The 27,964-nt window shown below is 39.2% G+C and overlaps 1 protein-coding gene across 4 annotated transcripts in view; it reads right to left on the bottom strand.

Annotated features, from left to right (window-relative positions):
• MCU (mitochondrial calcium uniporter) overlaps positions 1-27,964 on the bottom strand; it is a 195,552-nt gene that overhangs the window by 12,369 nt on the left and 155,219 nt on the right. For 3 of the 4 annotated variants that reach the window (NR_073062.2, NM_138357.3, NM_001270680.3), the window contains 4 exons: positions 15,979-16,149; positions 14,799-14,903; positions 6,463-6,623; positions 3,746-3,949 (listed from right to left, as the gene is read on the bottom strand). Coding sequence is in view for 3 of the 4 variants with exons in the window: in NM_138357.3 (NP_612366.1) it covers positions 3,746-3,949; positions 6,463-6,623; positions 14,799-14,903; positions 15,979-16,149 (641 nt within the window). In the remaining variant the exon portion in view is untranslated. Of the gene's footprint in view, positions 1-3,745; positions 3,950-6,462; positions 6,624-13,549; positions 13,648-14,798; positions 14,904-15,978; positions 16,150-27,964 lie in introns of all 4 variants that reach the window. The other variant, NM_001270679.2, reaches the window with a different exon arrangement.

Below are 27,964 nucleotides of genomic sequence, written 5' to 3'. Positions count from 1 at the left end.
AGAAAACATTTACAAAACAGCCCTTTGTAAGAAGTAATAATTATTTCCCCAATATATTTTTATTTCTATTCTGTATCTATTCTAATTATAGTTTTCAAAAGTTACTCCTCATAAATGAAGTCAACAGAAGGCAGCATAATTGAGTGGAAAGTGAGCAGCCTACAGAGCCACACAAATCTGGATTCAATTCCTTGTCCTACAGTGTACTAGATATAATGTTTGGGCAGATTACTTATCCTCTTGGAGACTCAGTTTCCTCATCTATGGAATGGCGATATATTAATACTTATAGGGTTGAGATTAAATATGTGAATAGATGTACTTATGTTACTAGATGTAAAATGCTGGACACATAATTAGGCTTAGCAAAACGTACTTAATAGTAATGACCAAGCAAAAGGTATGGGTATCTCACAGTGGAAAGAATGCTTCACCTCTTCAGTAATCAAGGAAATGGAAAGTCCACAAGGAAATACCACTATTTTGTACCCAATTAATCAGCAAGAGATATATCAAGGGTGATCTTTAGATTCAAGGTATAACTGGAAAAATATTAGTGTTTGGCTGAAAACATGGTTGTTATCCATGCCCAGAGCTGTGATCAGATAAGAATGATGTGACTGTTCAGTTCGTTCACAGTGACTAGTATGAGCCAGACATGCAACTAGGTGCTAAAAATTCTGGGCAAGCAATTGTAAGACATAAAACAGTTTACTTTCTTCTCTATTAGACACATTTGGGAGGCCAAGAAAAGTTAAATAACATTCTTGTGCTATCATTTCCCCAAACACAAATAGGCTGTGACCACTAATCTAACAACAGAAAGAAAATGCGTATGTTCAATAGCAGCCATATTAAATATGAGATGCAACTCTCAGCTTTCTTCTGATAACTAAGAAAACAGAAAAAGCTTTTCCGATGTCTCAGGTATTTCAAATATTTGATATTAAAGGGAGTGCTAGGTTGGATCTATGATGGTATATTATAATAATAACTGAAAGTAATGCTAAATCTTCATACTTCCTAAAGTGACACTGGAATTCCAAGATATTTAAAACGGCACTGACAATAAAAATTAGTTCTAGATACTGGTATTCAATAAAGGAGCCTCGGTTGATAAAGAATAAATCAACACTACCCTGAACCATGTACACATTTGATGCATTCCCTATCAAAATACCAATTATACTCTTCACAGAAATAGGAAAAAAATTCTAAAAACTATGCAGAACCAGAAAAAACCTTGAACAGCCAGAGCAATCCTGAGCGAAAAGAACAAAGCTAGAGGCATCATACTACCTGATGTCAAAATTTACTACAAAGCTACAGTAAGCAAAATAGCATGGTACTGGCATAAAAACAGACACATAGACCAAAGAAACAGAATAGAGAATCCAGATATCAATCCAAGCATTTATAGCCAATCATCTTTGACAAAGGCACCACGAACCCACAATGGGGAAAAGGCAATCTTTTAAATAAATGATGCTGGGAAAACTAGATAACCATATGCCGAAGAATGAAAGTAGATCCCCCTCTCTCCATACAAAAAATCAAATCAAAATGTATTAAAGACTTCAATCTAAGACCTGAACTATGAAACTACTAGAAGAAAACATTGGGGAAACCTTCCAGACATTGGTCTGGGCAAAGATTTTTTGTAAGACCTCAAAAAGCACAGGCAACACAAGTCAAAATAGACAGATGGGATTATATCAAACTAAAAAGCTCTTGTACGGCAAAGGAAACGGTCAGCAGAGTGAGGAGACAACCTACAGAACTGGGAGAAAACATTTGCAAAAGCTATTCATATGACACAGGATTTATATCAGAATATACAAGGAACTCAAACAACTCAATAGCAAAAAAATAAACTATCCAATTAAAATATAGGCAAAAGATCTGAATAGACATTTCTCAAAAGAAGACATACAAATGACTAATAGGTATATGAGGAAATGCTCAGAGTCACTAATCATCAGGGAATACAAATCAAAACCACAATGAAGGCAGGGCACGGTCGCTCACGCCTGTAATCCCAGCACTTTGGGAGGCCGAGGCAGGTGGATCACGAGGTCAGGAGATCGAGACCATCCTGGCTAAGACGGTGAAACCCCGTCTCTACTAAAAATACAAAAAATTAGCCGGGCGTGGTGGCGGGCATCTGTAGTCCCAGCTATTCAGGAGGCTGAGGCAGGAGAATGGTGTGAATCCAGGAGGCGGAGCTTGCAGTGAGCCGAGATCGTGCCATTGTACTCCAGCCTGGGCAATAGAGCGAGACTCCATCTCAAAAAAAAAAAAAAAAAAAAAAACCCAAAAAACAAAAAAACAAAAACAAACAAATAAAAAAACCCACAATGAAATATCATCTCATTCCAGTTAAAATGGCTATAATAAAAAAGAAAAAGAATATCAAATGCTGGTGAGGATGTGGAGAAATGCTGGGAATGTAAATTAGTATAGCCATTATGGAAAACAGTAGGGAGCCTCCTCAAAAAAACGAAAAATAGAAATATCATACAATCAATCTGGCAATCCCACTAGTGGGCATATATCCAAAGGAAAGGAAATCAGTATGTTAAAGCTATATCTGCACTCCTATGTTTACCGCAGCACTATTCACAATAGCTAAGATACAGAATCAACCTAAGTGCCCATCCAGGGATGAATGGATAAAGAAAATGTGGTACATATACACAATGGAATATTACTTAGCAATAAAATGAATGATATCCTGTCCTTTGCAGCAAAATGGATAAGGCTGGAGGACATTATATTTAATGAAATAGGCCAGGGACAGAAAGACAACTACCACATGTTCTCACTCATATGTGGGAGCTAAAAAAGCTGATCCCATAGAAGTTGAACCCACAGAAGTAGAGAGGAGAATAATGTTTACCAGAGGCTGGGAAGGGTAGAGGAGAGAAGGGGATAGGGAAAAGTTAGTTAATGGTACAAAATTACAGTTAGATAGGAGGAATAAGCTCTAGTGTTCAATAGTTAACAACAATTTATTGGATATTTCAAAACAGCTAGAAGAAAGGATTTGGAATGTCCCCAACAAAAAAAAAATAATACATGTTTGAGGGAGATATGCCATTTACCCTGATTTGATCATTACACATGTATATATGTTGTATACATGCACAGACACCCTCAAAATATGTACAATTATTATGTATCAATAAAAAAAGAATAGACTTGAGTATTAAGTAATTAGGTATCTAATTCTCAGCTCTCTTCCATAATGGAAACAACAACAACAACAACACCTTTCCTTTCAACATACTTAGGAGGATTTCTGAGTTTAGTTTAAGTATTTGATTAGTTATCACCAATTCTCCATTCCAAAAACTCAATAAAAATAAAAAGCATGGGACTTTTCCCACAGTACTTAAAAAGCCAAGCAACACAGCTGAACAGGTTATCCTACAGCTGATCATTCTGCTCCTTTGTCCACTTATTCTATACCTTACTGTAGTATATTTCTCTGAATTTAATGGTCTACATGGCTTTCTTAATAGTTTGTGAGCTCCATGAGGGTGGAAGTCATGTCTTATATCTACCTCTCCATCTACAGCACTTGCTTAGAATATTGCCTAATACACAAGTGGCACATGTGTGTGTATGTGTAAAGGATGAGTACTTAAAGAAAACTGGCTTTAGAAGATGAGAAAAAAGAACTCTTTTGACAATCAAAACTTTATTACTATCTCATAAAAAGTTACTTGAAGAGAATTCTTACCTGGCGTGTCATTACAAAATATGCATACATTGCCATGGCACTTCCATAAGTGATGAAGTATGTTACTGGCTCCATGATGTCCCAGGAATATTCCCACCAGGTAAGCCGGGCCAAAATGCCAAACTGTGTGGCCATGTAGGCAAGGCCACCCCATAGCACCAAAGTGGTCCTCTTCTCAGCTTTTCTGCTAATCTCAATTCGTACCTATTGGGCACACATAATCATAAGGCATTTTGACATAAAACCAATCTAAAAAGGCTTAAACTGTTCTATGTTCACTAAAGAAACAGGGCTCATCATCAAGACACAAGTCTCAATTCTAGTAAATATAGCTTGTCTTCCTAAATAGTATCTGCAGTTTTCACTGAATAAAATATCTTAGGCCAGGTGCAGTGGCTCACATCTGTAATCCCAGCATTTTGGTAGGCCAAGGCGGGAAGCTTGCTTGAGCCCAGGAGTTCAAGACCAGCCTGGGCGACATGGCGAAATCCCATCTCTACAAAAAATACAAAAATCAGCAGGGCATGGTGGCACATCCCTGTAGTCCCAGCTATCGGGAGGCTGGGGTGGGTGAATCGCTTGAGCCCAGGAACTGGAGGATGCAGTGAGCCAAGATCACACCACTGCACTCCAGCCTGGGTAACAGAATGAAACCCCCTTGAAAAAAATATATATACATACAACTACTATTCAGGGCATTTGTATTTTATGTTTCAACCTAGAAGTGGGTGGAAATATGGGCATGAATAACTCAGTTTCAAGAGGTCTTCATCCAGTCACAAGATTATCTTCTCTGAAAGAGGGAAATGCACACCTACCTATATTCTTTCACTGTTGCATACACGATTTAATCTATTCTCAGTTTTAACTCCAGTGGTATACTAGGGGCAGAATATGGACTCTGGATTTAAAGCAGCTCAATTCAGAGCGATGATCTGCAAATCACCATTAACTTCATTAAAGAGTTGTTCCAAAGATTAAATAAGAAAATATAGGTAAAGCTGGGCGCGGTGGCTCACGCCTGTAATCCCAGCACTTTGGGAGGCCAAGGCAGGTGGATCACGAGGTCAGGAGATCGCGACCATCCTGGCTAACATGGTGAAATCCCGTCTCTACTAAAAAAAAACACAAAAAATTAGCCGGGCGTGGTGGCAGGCGCCTGTAGTCCCAGCCACTCGGGAGGCTGAGGCAGGAGAATGGCGTGAACCCGGGAGGTGGAGCCTGCAGTGAGCCGAGATCGTGCCACTGCACTCCAGCCTGGGCAATAGAGTGAGACTCCGTCTCAAAAAAAAGAAAAGAAAATATAGGTAAAATACTAGCACAATTCATGAAACACAGTAAATATTCTATCTATAAATGATGAAAATTATTTTTCAGGAATCAGAAAATGCAAAATACTAAGAGTATTTGTTCCCTTCCTTACTCCTTATAATCTGATTTCTTAAAATTGAAATATCATAGAAAAAAATAAAGGTAACATATGTTCATTGTAAACATTCAGAAAAGTGTAAAGAAAAATCAGTCATAACCCGACTACTGTACTAGTATTTTGGAATGTATTCCTTCTGATTTCTTTCTCTGTGTATGTATATATATAAATGCGTATAGGTATATATATAACACATTTAAAAATTGGATCATAGTATGCACACTATTTTATAATTTGGTTTCTATGGCAAATTAAATCTATATAGTCCCTTTAATAGTTGCATAATATTCTATATACAGTTGTCCCTAGGTATCTGTGGTGAATTGGTTCCCGGATACCCCCCAAACCAAGATATCAAAATACATAGATGTTAAAGTCCCTTATATAAAATGGGATAGTATCTGCATATAACCTATGCATATCCTCCCATATGTTTTAAATCATCTCTAGATTACTTATAATACAATGTAAATGCTATATAGTCATTATATTGATTTTTAAAATTTGTATTTTTTTGTTGTTGTATTGTTATTTTGTTGTTGTTGTTTTTTTGTTTGTTTGTTTTTGAGACAGTCTCGCTCTGTCGTCCAGGCTGGAGTGCAGTGGTGCAATTTTGGCTCACTGCAACCTCCACCTCCCAGGTTCAAGTGATTCTCGTGCCTCAGCCTCCCAGGTAGCTGGGACTATAGGCACATGATACCACAATGCCCGGCTAATTTTTATATTTTTAGGAGAGACGGGGTTTTGCCATGTTGGCCAGGCTGGTCTCAAATTCCTGACCTCAGGTGATCTGCCTGCCTTGGCCTCCCAAAGTGTTGGGATTACAGGCGTGAGCCACCACGCCCAGCCTTGTTATGTTTTATTGTTTTTTTCCCCTGCAAATATCTTCTCTCTGAGGTTGGTTAAATCTGCAAATGTAGAACCTACAGATAACAGAGGGCCAACTGTAATATTCATTCTTAACTTGGCTAAAATCATTATCCACTATACTCAAGAGCCTTTCCTGATCAGCAGTTATTCTGATCTTAATTTTAAAGGTGGTAAATCTGGTTAAGGGCAGTGCATTTAGAACTGAAAGCTCTAAGTCCATTATCAAGGCTCCAAATGATTCCTTTTCAAGCCCTTTCTTAGCTTTGACTTAAACTTTTTTATGGTTCAGTCCCATAAACTAAAGAACTAACTTGATTGACATGACTCAATTGCATAAAACTTACAAGAAAAAACAGAAACATATATGCTCTGGAAAAAATACAGGTTAAGGTAAAAAACCTGAGATTGGAAGTTTTACCTTTTCCAGGGGAGCCAGCTGCTCTTTGAGATCCTCTAGTCTTTCAATAAGCTCCCTTTCCTTGTTTAACTGGTGCTGCTCAATGCACAGTGTGGTGTATAGTTGCTGGACCAATGTCTTTACATCATTCAGCGTTGCTGCATTTTCATGACTTAAGAGGTCTGAAACAAAAGTTACATTTTTTAAAAAATGTATGCCTTAAATGATTGCTATTCCTGGGACTATCAGATGAGGCAGATTCATCCATTATAGGTATCTCACCTTCAGTGTTAAACTGAAGGAAAGTAATAGCTCTCTTTTTTTTTTTTTTTTGAGACAAAGTCTTACTCTATCACCCAGGCTGGAGTGCAGTGGTGTGATCTTGGCTCACTGCAGCCCCTACCTCCAGGGCTCAAGTAATCCTCCGACGTTAACTTCCCAAGTAGCTGGGACTACAGGTGTGCACCGGCCACAAGCCTGGCTAATTTTTGTATTTTTTGTACAGACAAGTTTTCACCGTGTTGCCCAGGCTGGTCTCGAACTCCCGGGCTCAAGCGATCTGCCTGCCTTGGCCTCCCAAAGTGCTGGTATTATAGGCATTAGCCACCATGCCCAGCCAATAGTTTTTGTTAAAACAAAAAAGTTGTCCACAAATGTAAAAAGTAAATTCATATTTGGGTAACTCAAAAAATTTGAAATAAATATCTACCATTATATTCTTGGAAGTCTAAATGCTACAAATGAGGACATGATTAACATTAAGAAAAATAATACAAATAATAATGATCTTCATTAGATAAAGACAAAATTAAAGCAAATGTTAAAAACTAGTAGAGAGGTTTAGAATCAATTTGATTATTATGCTTATTAAAATGGTGACAATAATTTATCTGTAGTCCTGCCATTTTAATTCATTTTTTTCCCCCTTAGTAAGTGCTAAGGGAAAAATATATAGTATTTCAAATTTGCAAATACAAAGGCATAAATAAAAATGCCATCATCCTAATAATCTTTTTTTTTTTTTTTTTTTGAGACAAAGTCTCACTCTGTTACCCAGGCTGGAGTGCAGTGGCGCGATCTCGGCTCACTGCAAGCTCCACCTCCTGGGTTCACACCATTTTCCTGCCTCAGCCTCCCAAGTAGCTGGGACTACAGGCGCCCACCACCATGCCCGGCTAATTTTTTTGTATATTTTAGTAGAGACGGGGTTTCACCGTGTTAGCCAGGATGGTCTTGATCTCCTGACCTCGTGATCTACCTGCCTCGACCTCCTAAAATGCTGGGATTACAGGCTTGAGCCACCGCACCCGGCCCATTCTAATAATCTTAACCCTCATTCTTCTTCTCCCTAGTATACCAACTTTTATTCATTCCTGTTGATGAAAGACAGAGAATAGCTGTATGGGCCTCAGTATCATGGTCTAAAGGGTATGAAGTTATGAGAACGACTGAAAGGGTGAAAGATTAAATTCTTTCATTCAATATCCTCTATTGTGAGTAGCATGTATTTCTAGAAATCTAAAAATTATGTTTTCAGAATCAAATAAAAACTCTGCTGATTAAAGCTGTCAATTTTTTTTAAGCACAATTTTCTTTTAGATTCTTATTAACTTTAAATGTTAGGTACAGCATAAGGGTAGCACTCTTCTAAACAAAACAAGCCACAGTCAGAATTAACCACATATTTCAAACATTCTTTAAGGATGTCCTTTACTACAGTTATTATAGAAGTTCAATCAATGAAAAAATTCAGATGAAGGTAGCAAATTGGATTAGAGAAGAGCTGATATAGTAAAATGGGATACAACACCTAGCTGGGTATCTTGTATGCCTCAGTAAATGTGTGCTGAATTAATGGGAACATAAAAGCAAGAGCACTTTGAGTTCCAAAAGTCATCTATGTCAATCAACAGTGTCTTCCTTGTACCAAAGCTGCTGCTCACATTTGCATATAGCTTTAAATTGTCCAAAGTTACCAGAAGAAACTGCACTCTAGGAGGCTGAAGTAACTTGTTCAGAACGTCACAGTAAGGGGTAGAGTCCAGGTCTCCTGATTTCTAGGCCTGGAGCTACATTACAGTGCTTCTACTATACCAATATTAAATCTCTCCTGCAAGCTCAGTCCCCTTTCATGAACTATTTTATTAGATAAAGCAGATTTCTTCCATCTTCCCCATGTATTTATAAAACCCTAGTACTGGCCAGGCGCGGCCTGTAATCCCAGCACTTTGGGAGGCAAAGGTGGACGAATCACGAGGTCAGGAGTTCGAGACCAGCTCGGCCAACATGATGAAACCCCAACTCTACTAAAAATACAAAAATTAGCTGGGCGTGGTGGTGCATGCCTGTAATCCCAGCTACTGGGGAGGCTGAGGCTGGAGACTCGCTTGAACCCAGAGGCAGAGGTTGCAGTAAGCCGAGATTGCGCCACTGTACTCCAGCCTCAAAACAAAAACAAAAAACAAACAAAAAAACACAAAAAAACCCTAGTATTATTCCTCTTAAACATCCTGAACCTAGTGCCTTCTATTTCTTTCCTCCATTTAGCCCTTTCACTAAAGCGTTGCAACACGGGGCAGAGGAATGGAACATGCTTATTCAATGAATGTCATCCCTCTTAAATACAGAATTTCAAACCACTCTCTTACTGTAGTCAGCTGAAAAAGAGTGGTGGTACCTTGGGCGCCAGCAATACCTTCCTCAACCAGGGACAGAAAGACACAAGGTAGAAACAAAATTTGAGCCTATTTTGCATTTTATCAAAAGAAGAAAAAAAGATTTTCTTTACTATGTTTAAAAACCAGGGAAGGCCGGGCGTGGTGGCTCACACCTGTAATCCCAGCACTTTGGGAGGCCAAGGAGGGCGGATCACGAGGTCAGGAGATCAAGACCATTCTGGCTAACATGGTGAAACCCCGTCTCTACTAAAAATACAAAAAAATTAGCCAGGCATGGTGGCAGGCGCCTGTAGTCCCAGCTACTCAGGAGGCTGAGACAGCAGAATGGCATGAACCCAGGAGGCAGAGCTTGCAGTGAGCCAAGATTGCACCACTGCACTCCAGCCTGGGCAACAGAGCAAGACTCCATCTCAAAAAAACAAAAAAAAAAACAAAAAAAAAAACAAAACCACACAGCCTGGGCAACATAGGGAAACCTCATCTCTACAAAAAATAAAAAATTTGCCGGCGTGTGGCATGTGCCTATAGTCCTAGCTACTTGGGATGCTGAGGTGGGAGGATCTGCTTGAGTCTGGGAGGTCAGGGCTGCAATGAGCTGTGATCACACCACTGCACTCCAGCCTGGGTGACAGAGTGAGACCCTGTCTCAGAAAAATAATTAAATTTAAAATCAAGGAAAACAAACTGTTTATGGATTTAAAATCATATTGAGTTTCTGTGAGAGATGCTGATGGCATAATCTCTCACTAGCAAATAACAGAACTAAGAGAGCTATGATGTGTGCATCTAAACATTAAAAAGGTCTTTTGAAATTCTACACCAATGCTGCTATTGAATTACTTAAGTTCACACTTCAATTTATGATTATTTCCATGAATTACAGATTTTTGACCCTTGCAAGCTTTATACCCTAATTTACTTCTAGAGAAGCAAGGTAGATATTCCAGAGTTCCTGGATACAGATAAAGCAACGGGTTGTTTTAGGCTGCCAAATCACCAGGGAATCAAATACAATCCCCTGTTTTTTCAATTTCTGCCTTTTCTTATTCAATTTGAGAAAAGCTTTATTTAAAAAACTAAACGTTCATTTCTGTTTAAAAAATACGGTTATTACAGGAATGGTTGGTATTTATTAATTGATTAATATACCTTTAGTTTTTGACAACATAATACATGGAAACTCACATCTTAACTTTCCTGATTGTTATACTTTATATAGGAATATATTAGTGAACTTTCAGAATGTTACCAACAGAAAATCTAAACAGATGAACTCTCTAAGTAATTTACACAAAAACACACCTCTGTAAAATAGGCCCTGTACTTCTGTTATTTTAAAGAGAACTTCTAGCCCAAGAATCAGGGAATAAAGAAGAAAAACACATTAGCATAGCTGATAAATGGCTAACTGTCCCTGATCTACATGTTTAATTATTCCAACTTCAAAAAATCTGATTCGATAATGTCTTACTACAGTTGACCCTTGAACAATGTGGCGGGGGTGTTGGGGCACCACCCCCCTGCAACTTTTGAAACCTCAAAAACTTAACTACTAATGGCCTACCTGGACTAGAAGCCTTACCAATAACATAATTAATGAATGTTTTGTATATGTATTATATACTGTATTCTTACAGTAAAGTAAGCTAGAGAAAATAAAACATTAAAATCATAAAGAAGGGAAAATAAATTTATAGTGCTGTACTGTATTTATCTACATTGTAAGTTTACATTGTCTGTTTACAAGATAAATCATCTGTCTAAAATGATGGGCAACTGTAGCTGCAGACCTCAGTCTACGGTACGTATCAAGCAATCCAACTTTTTCTTGCAATGTCATATCACTTTTTTCTGCTTCTTGGGAGCACTTCCAGCATCACTGGTAGCACTTCGTATGGGTCCCATGGTGGACTAAACACAAAAAAATTTTGAGAACTGCAGGAGATCAATTTTTACTGCAATAGACAATTTACTAGAAAGAAGAACTACCCATGAGGAGATAATTAGCACCACACAGCATTTTAAAACTGTGTGGTATGTGATATTAAAAACACTTGAGTTTACCGCAATAGCAACAAGAGGTGGCTATGAAATTACTAGAGTAGTATACTATGTACCAGAGTCAATTTTATGCAGATATTATTTAACACTGCATCTTTACATTTGTTTACACTTCTCTCAACTGCAAATGGCATCATGCATGGTCTGTAAGTGTGTGCATAAGTTTTGATAATTTTTAACTTTTTATAATAGATATGTATATATTTTATGGTAGTAAACGATAGAAAATAGGAAGGGCATGGTGGTTCATGCCTGTAATCCCAGCACTTTGGGAGGCCAAGGTGGGTGGATCACCTAAGGTCAGGAGTTCAAGACCTGCCTGGCCAACATGGTGAAACCCCATCTCTACTAAAAATACAAAAATTAGCCAGGCATGGTGGCACGTGCCTGTAATCCCAGTTACAGGGAGGCTGAGGGAGGAGAATAATTTGAACCCAGGAGGCAGAGGTTGCAGTGAGCTGAGATTGCACTGCTGCACTCCAGCCTGGGGGACAGAGAGAGACTCCGTCTCAAAAATAAAATAAAATAAGATAGACTTGTATCTACATATATTTCATGCATTCATGACATACTTTTCTTAATGTTTTTGGATATTTCTAGGTTATGTGGTTCGTTTGCAAGTTTTTTCAAACCTGCTTTGTTCAACAATCAACTGTATTTAAAGAATATCTTTCCATTCTATTTAAGGATACTTTTCTATACTTTCTCCCAGCTAGCTCCCTCTCATTTAGCTTAAAGAAAGTGAATATGGCCTCTGCACAATCAAAATGCTACCCAGCGAACACATTTAATTCACTCAATATAGAAGGAATCAATGGGGAATACAAAATCACAGTGCCTTCCCTCACAGCATCAAAGAAAAGGACGAAGCAAAATTCAGAGAAGAGATTAATCATTTTTGGTTGGTCAGGGGTCAGAGACAGAAAGAGTATGATCATTAAAGGCTTATTGGAAGAGTCAATATTGACAATTTTGACTTGAGAAAACAGGGGTTAGGAAGAAAGACATCTTAGGCAGAGGAAAGTGGGCAAACAGTGAGATGGAAAAGAACGGGGCATAGTTCAGGAAACCATGAAGGAATACACAGTGGAGAGAAAGTAGGCAACATGTAGGAGGGAAAGAAAACATTTTAAAAGGTAGATGGGGACCAGATTATAGAGGAATTTAATAACAGGGTTTCACTCAGAACTTTTCTATGTTAGACCCAATTCTTTCTTTTTTTTTTTTCTTTTTTTTTAAAAAGATGTGTTGCCCAGGCTGGTTGCTACTGTGTTGCCCAGGCTGGTCCCAAACTCCTGGTCTTAAGCAATCCTCCTGCCTCGGCTTCCTAAAGTGCTGGGATTACAGGTGTGAGCCACCTTACCAGGCCTAAACCCAATTCTTAAAAGCAGGATTGAAAAGAAGGAATGTCCTACAGCAGTGGTCCCCCACCCCTGGGGTGCGAACCAGTACTGGTCAGTGGCCTGTTAGGAACCAGGCTGCACAGGAGGAGGCCAGTGAGTGAGCATTACTGCCTGAGCTCCACCTCCTGTCAGATCAGCAGCAGCATTAGATCTCATAGGGCACAAACCCTATTGTAAATTGTGCATGTGAGGGATCTAGGTTGTGCGCTTCTTATGAGAATCTAACTGATGCCTGAGGATCTGAGGTGAAAGTTTCATTCCAAAACCACTGCCTCTGCCCCCGCCCCCACTGTCAGTGGAAAAATTATCTTTAACAAAACTGGTCCCTGGTGCCAAAAAGGTTGGGAACTGCTGTCCTATGGGGCTGGTGGAAGGAGTGGTGGAAGGGGCATTAACAACAGCAGTGAGTTACAATGAATATTAAGGGTAAATAGAGAAACAGGACCAAAAAAGACACAACTCGGCCGGGTGCGGTGGCTCACGCCTGTAATCCCAGCACTTTGGGAGGCCGAGGCGGGCAGATCACAAGGTCAGGAGATCGAGACCATCCTGGCTAACACGGTGAAACCCCGTCTCTACTAAAAATACAAAAAATTAGCCAGGCGTGGTGGCGGGCACCTGTAGTCCCAGCTACTCAGGAGGTTGAGGCAGGAGAATGGCGTGAACCTGGGAGGCGGAACTTGCAGTGAGCCGATATTGTGCCACTGCACTCCAGCCTGGGTGACAGAGCAAGACTCAGTCTCAAAAAAAAAAAAAAAAAAGACACAACTCAAAACGCTATTTTAGAGGGCTACTTAGCATTGTACTGTGCAGAGCCATAGTAGAGGCTAGGATGAAAAGAAATATTAGTAATACTGACTCTGTCTTTATTTAAAATTTTGTTCATCATGCATTTTTTGCATTAACTCTGGTTTTTTAAAATAGTACATAAAAATACTATTTATCTTGCTGGGTGCGGTGACTCACGGCTATAATCTCGGCACTTTGGGAGGCTGAGGCAGGTAGATAACTTGAGGTCAGGAGTTCAAAACCATTCTGGCCAACATGGCAAAACCCCATCTCTACTAAAAAAAAAAAAAAAAAAAATTAGCCTGGCGGCTGGGCATAGTGGCTCATGCCTGTAATCACAGCACTTTGGGAGGCCAAGGTGGATGGATCACCTGAGGTCAAGAGTCCGAGACCAGCCTGACCAATATGGTGAAACCCGTATCTGGCTTGAACCTGGGAAGTGGAGGCTGCAGTAAGCCAGTGTCATGTCACTGGGCTCCAGCCTGGGCGACAGAGTGAGACTCTTAAAAAAAAAAACCCAAACAAAAAAACCCAACAATTCTTTATCTTGATTACCGAGTTTTTTGGTGCCCTCTTACAATTTGTGTCTGAGAAGAGCACCTTTCCTTTTCCCATAAAAGCATATACAGGCTGGGAACAGTGGTTCATGCCTGTAATCGCAACACTCTGGGAGGACAGAGAGGGAGGAGTGCTTGAGCCCAGAAGTTCAAGACCAGCCTGGGTGACATAGTGAGACTTCATCTCTACAAAAAGAAAAAAAATTATCCAGGCATGGTGGCACATGCCTGTAGTCCAAGCTACTCCAGCTGCTTGAGAGGATGAGGCAGGAGGATAACTTGAGGTCGAGGCTGCAGTGAGCTGTGATTATGCCACTGCACTCCATCCTGGGTGACAGGGTGAGATCTTGTCTCAAAAAAACAAAAAACAACAACAACAAAAAACCATGCACCATGTCAGAAGTTCCTAAGAACTATTATTATTGTACAATAACTGACTTTCAGATTGCTGACCTTGAGCCATAAAAAAAGCTCAATACTTATTACAATGCTTAAGAGAACAGAGAAGCCTATAGCTTATTTTAAAAAGATATCCCCTGCAATGTTATTAAAGTAGTATGACTTTTGGCCTTTATGAAGGGAAGGGGCTTCAGTTATGTAGGACATTCATTTATGTGAAACAGAGTGACAATATCAGATAATGAAGCATTCTGGAATCTAGGCAGAATCGAAGTGATTTTTGTCGACGTACTAGCCAAGTGCCAAGTACTCAATGAGCTCTTCAACTGAAATAGTGTCTATCTGTATATAAAACTTTCAGTGTTCTTTGAATACTGTCTGTTTCTCAAGGTTACCCAAGGAAAAAAAATAAAGTTATTTCCAAAAGCCCTTCCCACATTTCTGTGACCTTACCAAGGTTACTATTTTACCTCTTTTTGGTGGTCGTACGTGGTATGTTAAGTCATTAATGACCAGCTTAAAGTCATCAAGGAGGAGGAGGTCTATTCCTGTTGAAGCAGCAACGCGAACACCATCTGTGAAAATTTCAAATGAAACTTGTCATAGGTCCATAATTATTCAAGAATGGTCAGGAAAATTCAATCTTCAAAATCGTTTTTAAAAATTACCTCTTCCTTTTAAAATTTCAGTTAACTTTTTGCCTCATTTCCTATGCAAACAAAGTTTAGGTTGAAGCTCTGTTTTTAGGACTCAAGTTTGTGAAGATTTAACAACAGCTTTTCCTGTGAACTATATGAACAAGTGAAATAATTAATGGTCATAGTTCTATAGGTGTACATTGGAAATCTAGGGTCACTGGGACAGCTGTATGGGCTTAATACTGCCTATAATGGAAGCTGGTTGAGTCAAAAAAAAATTTTCTGACATATGGTACTTTTCAGTATAGTCACTGATTAGTTGCCAATAATTCAGTAGAGATAGACGCTGGGGTTAGCAAAGTATTATACATCCACCAGCTGGTCTACTAATTATATTGCCAGATGAGTAGAAATGTGGTAATTGTTAACTGGTGAATCCAGGTGAAGGGTAAATGGGCATTTATTGTACTTACCTTTCAAGTTTTCTGCAGGTTTGAAAAATTTTAAAGTAAAAATGGGGAAAACACAATGGGAAAAAAACTTAAAAAGATTAAAAAATAAATAAATTAAATACATAAAATGGTAATTTTTAGTGCCTTAGTTTATATTCTTTTCAAATTATATACTTCTTTATTTTGGCAAACTTTTCTTTCCAGAGATGAGGGTTTAACTACTGGAAGTATTTATTCTACACCGAAAGTAATGATAAAAAGTCTCAATAATATAAAATGTGATTGATTGTTCATCCTTGCTCATGGCATTATATGTGAGCTGCTTTTGAATGAGATTCCCTGTGCATACACATTTGCTAAAACCGATCAATTATACTCTGAGTACCACTGGGAGAGAAATCCCTTTCTCTCCTGGTAAGTGCTAAGCAAAAGAAAAAAGTTTTCTGAAGTTAACAGTATAGGGTTCTTTTGTAGCTACGTGTGTGGTGTATGTATGTGTCTAGAAATGGTGTGGGGTGAAATGAGGGATAGATGGTAATTAATAATGATGGTGACTATACCTGGTGAATAGATAGCAACTCTGTCAATTCCCCGATCCTCTTCTTGCAGTTGTCGTAAAAATACACCAACAGAGTCAGAGATAGGCTTGAGTGTGAACTGACAGCGTTCACGCCGGGATGGTAGCCTCACAGATATCACAGGTAACCCATTTTGATAAACCACTGTAACATCTGAATGAAAAAGACCCACAAACATATGATAATTGGATTTCAATGTAAGTTAAAGTCACATTATTACCATTCTTGCATGGGGGTCTATTATTAGTGTGATTTAAAATGTTTTCAAAGAAGGTTTAAGAACATGCCCTTTAGCTTTAGTTGAAGGTTATTCTGGGAACTGGCTTATAAAAGATCAAATGGATCACATAGCTCATTTTACAGATATGAAAAAACAGGCAAGGAACTGTCTTCTGAGTGGGTCAAGGAGAGGCTTTCCCAAGGATATCAGGTGAAGTTCTTGATATTGGTGAATACAAGCCCTGGTTCCATTTAGCAAGATTTTATTAAGCAGTCAGAGATTGCTGGGCTAGACTTCATAGCCTGTAGGACGTGGCTCTCGGGATCCAGAGCTTTCAAGAAGTACACTAATAAGTGAGACTCTTACTCCAAAACAGTCAATTCATGTATATATAGTACAGTATTATATCCAAGCTGATAAGTGAGAAACAAAAGTGAAATCCTAAGCCCCTCAACTGACTGAATGGACCCCCTCTTGGCCAAGGGGACCCCAGGGTAAACCTTTAAAGCTAAGTTCTCAGCCATGACAGGATGGGAGGTCAGACACAATTCATTATACCCCTTCCTTGCTAGCCACCATTAGGCATTCTTTCCTAAGGGCTTAAGAGAAACTAGCCCTTTCAGAAGACTCCACCACTGATATCAACCAATTAACTGACCAACACTGCCCCTTTTTTTTGCCTGACAAGAGGCCACCGACCGTGGAGTGGTTCTGGCCAGTCTACAGAGAATGCGCAGTGAGGGTTTTCACACCCTCTGCTTCATCTTTTGATGCCAGAGAGCTGAAAACTCCACCCTCAGATCATGCTGACGCAGCCATTTTTTGTACACGGGACCCATGAAGGGGCATGAAGATCAGTTGTGCATACACACATTTCTCCTTTCATAAATATGCATGGCCTCTCCTATAGCGTACTGAGTATGTATATTTGGCCACCCTGCTCAGCATGCATCCTGTTCTTTTTGCCTCTTCCTCAAAGTGTCTGTTTTTGGCTTCTGAATGGAGGCTACACTTCCCAGCCTGTCAGAATGGCCACCCTGCAGCCTGCAACCTTTATGAGAAATATAGGTCTCCTTTCCAAATTTATGAACCTCGCCATTCTTCAGTTGTCATAAGTTAGCATTCTATCAAAAACAATTCATGTTCTCTTGAATGTCTTCATGAGCTTGGCTAGACAGAACCAAAACTCAGATGTTTAAGATTTTATAACAAAATGTTATGAAGGGAAAATTTATTATGAACTATTAAATTGAAGGGATCTTCTACAAAAGTATAGCATAGAATGCCTATTTCCTTATTTTCTCCCTCAGTATTCTTGATTTGTAGGGTCCCAGTAGAACAACTATCAAAATAGCCCTCTTTTGGAATAATTTTCACATACATTTTTTTAAAAATGCATTTTTAAAATAAAAAATTTTTACATAAGCAACTGAGCATTTAAAGATGATGTTAGCACTGAGGAAAGAAAACAGGCTTTGGAGTCAAATATGGGACTGAACCTTGGCTCTGTAATTTTGGGTGTATTATATAACTTCTCTGAGCCTCACTTTTTTCGTATATAAAATGGGCTTTGGCCAGGCATGGTGGCTCATGCCTGTAATCCCAGCACTTTGGGAGGCCGAGGTGGGCAGATCATGAGGTCAAGAGATTGAGACCATCTTGGCCAATGTGGTAAAACCCTGTCTCTACTAAAAATAAAAAAATTAGCTGGGCATGGTGGTGCACGCTTGTAGTCCCAGCTACTCGGGAGGCTGAGGCAGGAGAATCACTTCAACCCAGGAGGTGGAGGCTGCAGTGAGCCAAGATCGCGACACTGCACTCCAGCCTGGCAACAGAGTGAGAATCTGTCTGAAAAAAAAAGGGGGGGGTTTAATCCCTAACTCACAGAGCTGTTGTGAGAAATGAGTGAAATACATAAATAATTTAAAACACTTAGCATATTACATGATACATAAATGATAATGTTTCCTTACTAGCTTCTTTGAAGAATCAAAAGTTGACCAGATGTGGCGACATGTGTCTGTAGTCTCAGCTACTCAGGAGGCTGAGGCAGAAGGATTGCTTGAGCCCAGGAGTTTGAATCTACAGTGAGCTATGATTGTGCCACTGCACTCCAGCCTGAGCAACCGAGTGGGACCCCATGTCTAAAACCTTTTTTTTTTTTTTTTTTTTTGAGACATCTTGCTCTATCACCCAGGAGTGCAGCGGCATGATCACAGCTCACTGCAGACTCGAGCTCCCAAGCTCAAGCGATTCTTTTGCCTCAGGCTCCCAAGTTGCTGGGAACTACAGGCGTGCACCACCATGCCAGGCTATTTTTTTTTTTTTTTTTTTTTTTTTTAGAGACAGGGTTTCACCACGTTGCCCAGGCTGGTCTTGAACTCCTGAGCTTGAGCAGCGACCCACCTTGGCCACCCAAAGTGCTGGGACTAAAGCCATGAGCCACTATGCCTGGCTTCTAAAAACAATTTTTAAAAATAAAGTAAGAGTCAAAAATTACATTCTATTATGCTTCTAAGGATTTATATCCCTACTAATCAAAGAGTTTATAGCAAACATATGTTAAGATTAATGTTTTGGAAATCCAAAATGCATCAAGCTTTCCATAGTTGTAGTTGTAGACATTTACATCTTATTTCCTTGTCTATTCTAGTAATTCATAAGGCCTACATTATATACAAAATCTTCACACTAAAATCTTTCATGATTTGAATTTTCAAGAAATAAACCTAATTGAGACATAGTTTATAAATAACAAAATACATTCTTACTTAAAATGGAAATCTGATGAGTTTTTACATAAGAATCAAAATAAAGAACATTTCTATGATTCCCCCAAATTCTCTGATCCCCATCCCAGTTAATCCCTGGGTAACCATTGATCTGATTTTGTCACCACAGATTATATTAGGTTTTTATAGATTTTTATATAAATAAAATCACGCTATGGACCCTTTTATATCTGGCTTCTTTCTCTTGGCATGATTATGAGATTCACCTATGTTGTTATTAGTAGTTCATTAATTAACTAGTTCATTAGTAGTCATTCATTTGTATTGCTGAGAAGGGTGTCAATGCATAGACACACCACAACTTGTTTATCCAGTTGACGAACATCTGGGTTGTTTCCAGGTTTTGGCTACTATGAATAAAGCTTTTATGATTATTTGCATACAAGCCTTTGTGTGACATGTTTTCATAGTATATCTTTCCCTATCCTTTTACCTTATCCATGTTTTATTTAAAGTGAGTTTCCTGTAGAAAGCTTATAGTTGGGTCTTGCTATTTTATCCAATCTAACAATCTCTGCCTTTTAATTAAAGTATGTATATTATTTGCATTTAATGTAATTTAAGTATGGCTGAATATAAGTCTTACCATCTTACTACTTATTTTCTTTTTGACCCTACTGTTCTTTCTTCTACTTTTCCTCTATTCTTGCCATTTTTAGATTTACTATCTTTTAATCTCTTTAAAAAGGATTTTTTCATTTAATCACTATTTATTATAATTTAATCTCTTTTTTTAGAGACAGGGTCCTAATCTGTCTCCCAGCCTGGAGTACAGTGGTGTGATCACAGCTCACTGCAGCCTTGATCTCCTGGGCTCAAGTGATCCTCCTACCTCAGCTTCCTGAGTGGCTAGGACTATAGGCATATGTAACTGTGCCTGGATAATTTTTTTTTTTGGTGGGGGTAGAGACAGGGTCTCACTATGTTGCCCAGGCTGACCTTGAACTCCTGGACTCAAGCTATTCTCACACCTCAGCATCCCAAAGTGCTGGAATTACAGTATTGAGCCACAATGCTCAGGCTAATCTCTGCTATTGACTTATTAAATATACCTTATTTTATTTATTTTTATTTTTTTTGAGATAGGGTCTTGCTCTGTTGCCCAGGCTGGAGTGCAATAGTGGGATCTTGGCTCACTGCAACCTCCACCTCCTGAGTTCAAGCCATTCTCCTGCCTCTACCTCCTGGGTAGCTGAGACTACAGGTACCCATCACCACAACCATACTAATTTTTCTTTAGTAGAGACAGGGTTTCACTATGTTGGCCAGGATGGTCTCAAACTCCTGACCTCAAATGATCCGCCCGCCTTGGCCTCCCAAAGTGCTGGGATTACAGGCGTAAGCCACCACACCTGGCCCTTATTTTATTTTTTTAAGCATTACTCTAGAGCAAGTATTGCTAAACTTTTTTCTGTAAAGGCTGAGGTATTAAATATTTTAGACTCTGTGGGTCATAAGATCTCTGTTACAACTACAAACTCTGTTACTGTGGTGCAAAAGCAGCCACAGGCAATATGTAAACAAATAGGCATGGCTGTGTTCCAACAAACTTTATTTATAATAAGCAATAGGCTGGCTTTGGCCTGTAGGTTAGGGGGTCGCCAACCCCCAGGCCACAGACTGGTACCATCGAAAAAGTGTCTTACACAAAACTGGTCCCTGGTGCCAAAAAGGTTGAGGAGCACTGCTGAAGGTCATAGTTTGCTGAATTCTGCTCTATGTTATACATCTTTACCATATCACAGTCAGTCTTCAAATAATATAATATCACTTTAGGTATAGTTTAGAGGACCTTACAACAAATACTTCCATTCCCCCTGCTTGCATTCTTCGTGGTATTGTTCTCACACGTTTTTCTACATATATTATAAACTGCACATTATTTTTGTGTGGTTTACCTTTTGATTATCTTTTAAAGAAATTTTGTTTTGCATAGTATATGATATGAGTTTGTGTATATTCTTATCTTTGTTCCTCTATGTCTTTTTTCCTCTGTCTGCCTTTTTAAAACTTTTACTTTTTAATAAAGACAGGGTCTCATTCCGTTGCCCAGGCTGGAGTTCAGTGGCACCATCATGGGTTACTCAGTCTCAAACTACTGGGCTCACTGGATACTCCCGCCTCAGCCTCCAAAGTAGCTGGGACTACAGGCATGTGCCACCATGCCCAGCTAATTTATTTTATTTTTGAGACAGAGTCTTGCTCTGTCACCCAGGCTGGAGTGCAGTGGTGTGATCTTGGCTCACTGTAGCCTTCACCACCTTCAAGCGATTCTCCTGCCTCAGCCTCCCCAATAGCTGGGATTACAGGTACACACCACCACACTTAGCAAATTTTTGTATTTTTAGTAGAGATAGGGTTTCACCACGTTGGCCAGGCTGTTCTCGAACTCCTGACCTCAGGGGATCCACCTGCCTCAGCCTCCCAAAGTGCTGGGCCAGCTAATTTTTTTAATTTTAATTTTTAATTTTTATTTTTGTAGAGACAGGGTCTCACTATGTTGCCCAGGCTGGTCTCAAGCAATCCTCCTGCCTCGGCTTCCCAAAATGCTGGGCTCACAGGTGTAAGCCACCATGCCCAGCCCTCTGCCTGCTTTTCAACATTTTCCTTTTATCACTGGTTTTCAACAATTTGACTGTGATGTGCTTTGCTTTTCTTTATGAATGGTTGGGAGTTGTTAGATTTTTTAGATCTGGCTTTCCTCAAATTTGGAAAACTTTTGACCTTTATTCAACTATTATTTTTTTCTGTCTGCTACCCTTCTGGGATTCCAATTACACTTATGTTAGGCCATTGTGATATTGTCCCACAGGTCACTGAGGCTTTCTTCATACATTTCAGGGGCTTTTTTCCCCCTCTCAGTTTCATTTTGGATAGTTTTAATTGCAATATACTTCAACATCATGGATTTTTTTCTTCTGCAGTGTCTAATTTCCTGGTAATTCCATCTATATGGTGTTTTCATTTCAGACATATTTTTCACCTCTAGAAGTTGCATTTCTTTTTATATCTTCCATTTCTTTTCACATTATACTTATATTTTTCCTTTTCTCTATGAGCATAAGGATCATATTTATAATAGCTATTTTAACATTCTTGGCTGTTTATTCCATTATCTCTGACATTTCTAGGTCTGTTCATTGACTGAATTTTTGGAAGGCTTATTTTTTGCTTCTTCATATGCCTAGTAATTTTTGATTGGTGGTTAGAAATTTTTAATTTTACATTGTTGAGTGCTGGATCTTGTATAGTTAAATTAGTTGCATGTTAGTTTGGCCCTTTCAAGACTTCAAAAAATTATTTTAGGACAGATCTAGAGAATCCTTTATTCTAGGACCAATTTGTCCCTACTTCTAAGATATGGTTCTTCTGAGAATGTCTACCAAATGTTCATGTGTCCAAGGCTATCTCTCTACTGTGGCTAGAGGGAAGCAAAATTATTCATTTTATATTACTGGCAATAGTTATGTTCTAGGAAGTTGTTCTAGCCTGGTCTTGTGGTTTAGAATTCAGCCAAAGCCTCACAGGATGCCTATGCAGATTTCCGAGACTCCTCTTTCTCTTCATAGCTCCTTCCTCTGTAAACCTCTGTCTCATAAATTCTAGCTGCCTTGGGATTTACAAACTCTGATCTCTGTTTCTTCATCTTAACTAGATGGCCAAGCTCTGTTTCCCCTCTCTGTGATGCAATTTAGAGGCCGCCTCAGGCTGTAAACTCAACCAATGCAGGGTTCAACTCATTTGTTCCTCTTATCTCAGGCATCACAGTCCTGTGTGCCTATTGTCCAGTGTCTGAAAACAGTTGTTTCAGATATTTTGTCTGGTGTTCTAGTTGTTTATAGCAGGATAGTAATTCCCATAGCAGCTAATACTTCATGGATGTACGATTTGAATTTTTACATAAAAACTAAAAGGCAAAATCAGAAATCCTTATTGCCTTTTTCCTTCCAAAGGAATAGTCTGTTTCCTAAGGAAGAAGAGGTCAAAATAGTAATTTGAATTGAATATATAGCATGTACTATCTAAAGTCTGCAATACCTAAAGATATTTTTAAAATTTGTTATATTCCTTCTTGTTCTAAAAGAATCCTTAACAATTAATCTACTGTTTCCTGAAGTCAGAACCACTAACATGAGAATATTTCTATCTTTTCTATAGGCAGTAATGATGACGAAGTCATTAAGATTAGTGATTAAATTATCCAATTATCCCCTTTCTGTATGTGAAAAAGAGTAACCACAGATCAAGAAGTAGAGAGAGTTGAATTGAAATACGAGATAGAATCTGTGAGTCTGAAATATATTTGGAGGATCTTGAAGCTGTCTTTGCAAAAATTATAAAAGTGAGAAAATTATGACAGTGAAAGACACCTAATCTAACCAACCCCATATTTCCTTTAACCTCCAAACTGCCCTTGGTCATTCCTGGGCTTGGGCCTAGCTAGCTTTGGGAGAAATTTAGTTTTTAGTTTAAATAATATGCCTTCCCCCAAAATAAACTGCCTTCACAAAAACTAACGAAAGAGCAACAGGTTAGGAAGATGGGAGGAGGCTGAATTCTGCTAAGATGTAAGTGGAAGGGATTACACCAAGCCATTATTCCAGAGGTCACAAGATTTGCAACTTCCCCACACCCACTCATGCAGATAACATCACTGTTGTAGAACCTAAGATTGGCCTTTTGAGATGTCCTTTCAGGCTCCTGTGGCCCCCACCCAGAAGAGGACTCAGCACATGAGGACCATTTTCCACACCCCTATGACTGCATCCACAACCAATCAGCAGCACTCATTCCCTTAGCCCCCTGCCCACCAAACTATCCTTGAAGAATCCTGGTCTCCAATTTGGGGAGACTAATTTGAGTAATAAAACTCCAGTCTCCTGTTCAGCCAGCTCTGTGTGAATTAAACTCTTTCTCTATTGCAGTTCTCCTCTCTTGACAAATTGGTTCTATCTAGGCAGTGGGCACAGAGAAGCTGTTGGGCAGTTACAAATGCACTAAAACATCAGTTTCACAGGTAAATGCTTAGGGGTTACTGTTTTAAAATAACTGAGACAAAGTCAACAGAGAATATGAAGGTCTTTCATACCCAATTTAACTTCTTCCTTTAAAGAGCATGATGCTTTTTTCAAGGGAATGAAATAAGAAAGCTTTTGAGAAACTCTACAAGGAATAATGCAATTCAGAGCTGACAAGCCTTTATTATACTGCTTTTGAAATCCCAATGCCTACTTCTTTCCTACACAGTAGACTGTAATGTCAACGTTAGATTTCTTAGTTTGCAACTCAGGAATAACTATTGCCAAGGTTCCTCAAGTTTCACAATATAAACAATAAACAGCTGGCTGTAGCGAAGTCACAATGGGTATTCATAAGCTAATGACAGTTGTCAGCTACTATTACCTAGATAAAAAATATTCTTTTAAAGTATAAATTGCATCAAGTGGCTGTTTGGTTGAATTTTTTAATCTTTTGCTTTGATTTCCATGTGAATAAAGTAAGAAATAATATAAGTATGTTCCAGAGCAGTGTGCTTCAAAAAAAGCCTAGAAATTATGGAGCATTCAACATGAATACTTAGAGCTAGAACATGATAACAGATTTAGGCATAAAAACCAAAAGATGCGGAATTGTGCAGACTAAGAAGAGTAGTGCAGGAACTACAAACAATTGCATTTGAAGAAGGAATACATATTTTAAAAATGCCTTTGAGGCATCAGGAGTTGAAAAAAACAGTCATAAAATACAAATGCTTGTTATTTTGTAAAATATTTTTTAAATGCTTGTAAAAATATATAGTATGAAGTTTGGCTGGTGTTCAAAACAATGAGTAAAATCTCCACTAAAATATATCACCTGTATATATCTTGAGGGCTTATTATGAAAGGGACTTGGTACACAAGGAAGCACATGTTGGGGTTTTTCCGCAAAGCTACTTGGAGTAGAACTATATATGATGGATGATTTCAGGGGCTTATGATCTTAACATTGTCGATTTCCTCCCCATTTTCTGTAATATTCTGCATCATAAGTGTGAGATATAATCATAGAATTTCAGTGTTGGAAGGCCAGACAGATCATACAAACTAACATCCTTCTTTTGCAGCTAAGAATAACAGAGTCTAGTAACGTTAGATAATATTCCTGGGCCAGGCGCGGTGGCTCACCTGAGGTCAGGAGTTCGAGACCAGTCTGGCCAACATGGTGAAACTCCATCTCTACTAAAAATACAAAAAATTAGCTGGGTGTGGTGGCAGACACCTGTAATCCTAGCTATTCAGGCACCTGAGGCAAGAGAATTACTTGAACCTGGGAGGCGGAGGTTGCAGTGAGCTGAGATCGTGCCACTGCACTCCAGCCTGGGCAACAAGAGCAAAATTCTGTCTAAAAAAAAAAAAAAAAGAAAAAGATAATACTGCTAAGGTCACAGAGTTCAATCCAATGCAATTTGGATCTCATCATTTGACTAAGAAATCCTCTTCTAGGTCACACATGACATTAGGTTGCTAAATTCAGTAGAAATTTTAGCTCTTAACTTGCTTGTTTTAGCAGTATCTAATGATGTTAACGACTCCCTCCCTTTGTAAAAAGTTTCCCCACCAGCTTCTATGATGCTTCTAGCTTTTCTTTCTGTCTAGACCTTCTAATTTCCCCTCATAAGCTATTCTTCCTCTATTCATCCCTTAAAAGTTTCTAAGTGCTTTGTCCTAGGCCTCTGTGCTTCTCAATTCACACACTCTCTAGGAAATCTCACGTCCTCCCAAAGTCTCATGTAAATGCTGATGATATCCCAAGCCTATATTCAATTGTCTGCTAGAAATTGGGTCTCCCACAGCCATAACTGAAACTCAAAAGTCCTAAAAGTGAATCCATCTTCCCTAACCACCCATAATCTCAACCAATAACACCACCATTATTTTATTTTTGACCAAGCCAGAAAATTACCTGGCATCCTTGACTATTCATAGAGCCAGAATCTGACATTCCTCATATCTTATCAGTCATCATGTGCTTTCATTCGATTTTTTTTTTTTTTTTTTTTGGAGTCTTGCTCTATCACCCACGCTGGAGTGCAGTGGCAGAATCTCAGCTCACGGCAACCTGCGCCTCCCAGGCTCAAGCGATTCTCCTGCCTCAGCCTCCCGAGTAGCTGGGATTACAGGTGCCTGCCACCATGCCCGGCTAATTTTTTTGTATTTTTAGTAGAGACATGGTTTCACTATGTTGGCCAGGCTGGTCTCGAATGCCTGACCTCGTGATCCACCCGTCTCGGCCTCCCAAAGTGCTGGGATTACAGGTGTGAGCCACCAACCCCGGCCCTTTCATTCTATTTTTTAAACAGCTCTAAGCCCTCTGATACTGTCTACACTACCACCATTTTAGTCCAGGCCACCACCATCTCTTTCTTCTATCAGCTACATTGTAATTGGAGTCCTTAATTCCAGCCTTGCTCCAGTTCAATTTTCCACACTGAAGCAGGGTGATCTTTTTCCAAATGAAGCCACTATCCTGAAGTTGGTAGTTGGTGTTTACCATTTCCATCCATTTATACATACACACACGCACAGGCAGACACACACACACACATACACAAACATATATCTCAATACACAATATTTAGTACTGTGATAGCCAGCCTTCAAGAAGGCTCTCTATAATTCTTGCCTGTAAGTATTTGCTATGGTTTGAATGTCTCCTCCAAAACTCACCTTGAAATTTAATTGCCACTTTAACAGTGTTGAGAGGCAGGACCTTTAAGAGGTGATTAGGTCATGAAGGCTCTGCCCCATAACTGGATTTTTGCCATTATCATAGGAGTGGGTTAGTTACTGGGGGAGTGGATTCCTGATAAAATCCACTCCCAAAAACGGTGAGTTCAAGTCAATTTCCCCTCTCTGTCTTCTGTGCACACTTCCTCACCATGTGATGCCTTCTGACATGTTACAATGCAGCAAGAAGACCCTCACTAGATGGACTCCTCGATCTTGGATTTCCCAGAACTGTAAGCCAAATCAATCTTTTCTTCATAAATTACTCAGTTTGCAATTGATATAGCAGCAAAGAAATGGACTAAGATAGTATAGATGCCTCTTGACTTATGATGAGATTACCTCTGCATAAACCCACTGTAAGTCAAAAAATGCATTTACTACTCCAACAAATCCATCATAAAGTCAAAAAACCATAAGTTGAACCATCAGAAGTCAGGGATTGTCTATATTCATGCCCTGTGTAGTGTCACCCACATCAAATCAGGGCTGGTCTGCAGAACCAATATGATACAGCTGAAGTGATGATGTGTACTTCCAAGACTATGTCATAATAGGCTTTACTTCTGCTTTGGTCTCTTGTACACTTGCTCTAGGGGAAGCCGGTCATCATATCATGAGGACAATCCTGCAGCCCTATGGAGAAGCCCACATGGAGAAGTGGTACCTTCTTGACCAAAAGTAAACTTGTCAACCATGTTAGTGAGTCACCTTAGAATCAGATCTTCCGGCCTCAGTCAAGCCAGATGATTAAGGCCCTGACTGACATGGGGCTGCACCCTCAAAAGACTACAAACTGCTCAGCCAAACTATTCCTAAATCCCTAATCCACAGAAACATGAGAGATAATAAAAGATTAGTTTATGCCCCTTTGTTGTAATTTGCTGTACAGTATTAAATAACCAAATATAGTATGACTTTGCATATATTTATATTTTATAGTAATATCTCCTATACATGGAGGATATGTTCTAAGACTCTCAGTGAATACCCAGCTGCAGATAGTACAGAACCCTATATATAGTATTTTTTTTGCTATACATACATACCTATGATAAAGTTGAGGAACTACCTATTTCTGGCTTTTGACTGGGGGCTATGCTTCCCAGCCTGTTAGAATGGCCACCCTGAAGGTTGCAACCCTTTATGAGAAATGAAGTTCTCCTTTCCAAATTTATAAACCTTGG

The sequence above is a fragment of the Homo sapiens genome, chromosome 10 (genome assembly GCF_000001405.40).
Source record: "Homo sapiens chromosome 10, GRCh38.p14 Primary Assembly".
NCBI classification, from domain to species: domain Eukaryota; kingdom Metazoa; phylum Chordata; class Mammalia; order Primates; family Hominidae; genus Homo; species Homo sapiens.
The sequence above is the reverse complement of the archived record's forward strand: the minus strand, read 5'-3'. Positions and strand labels throughout refer to the sequence as shown.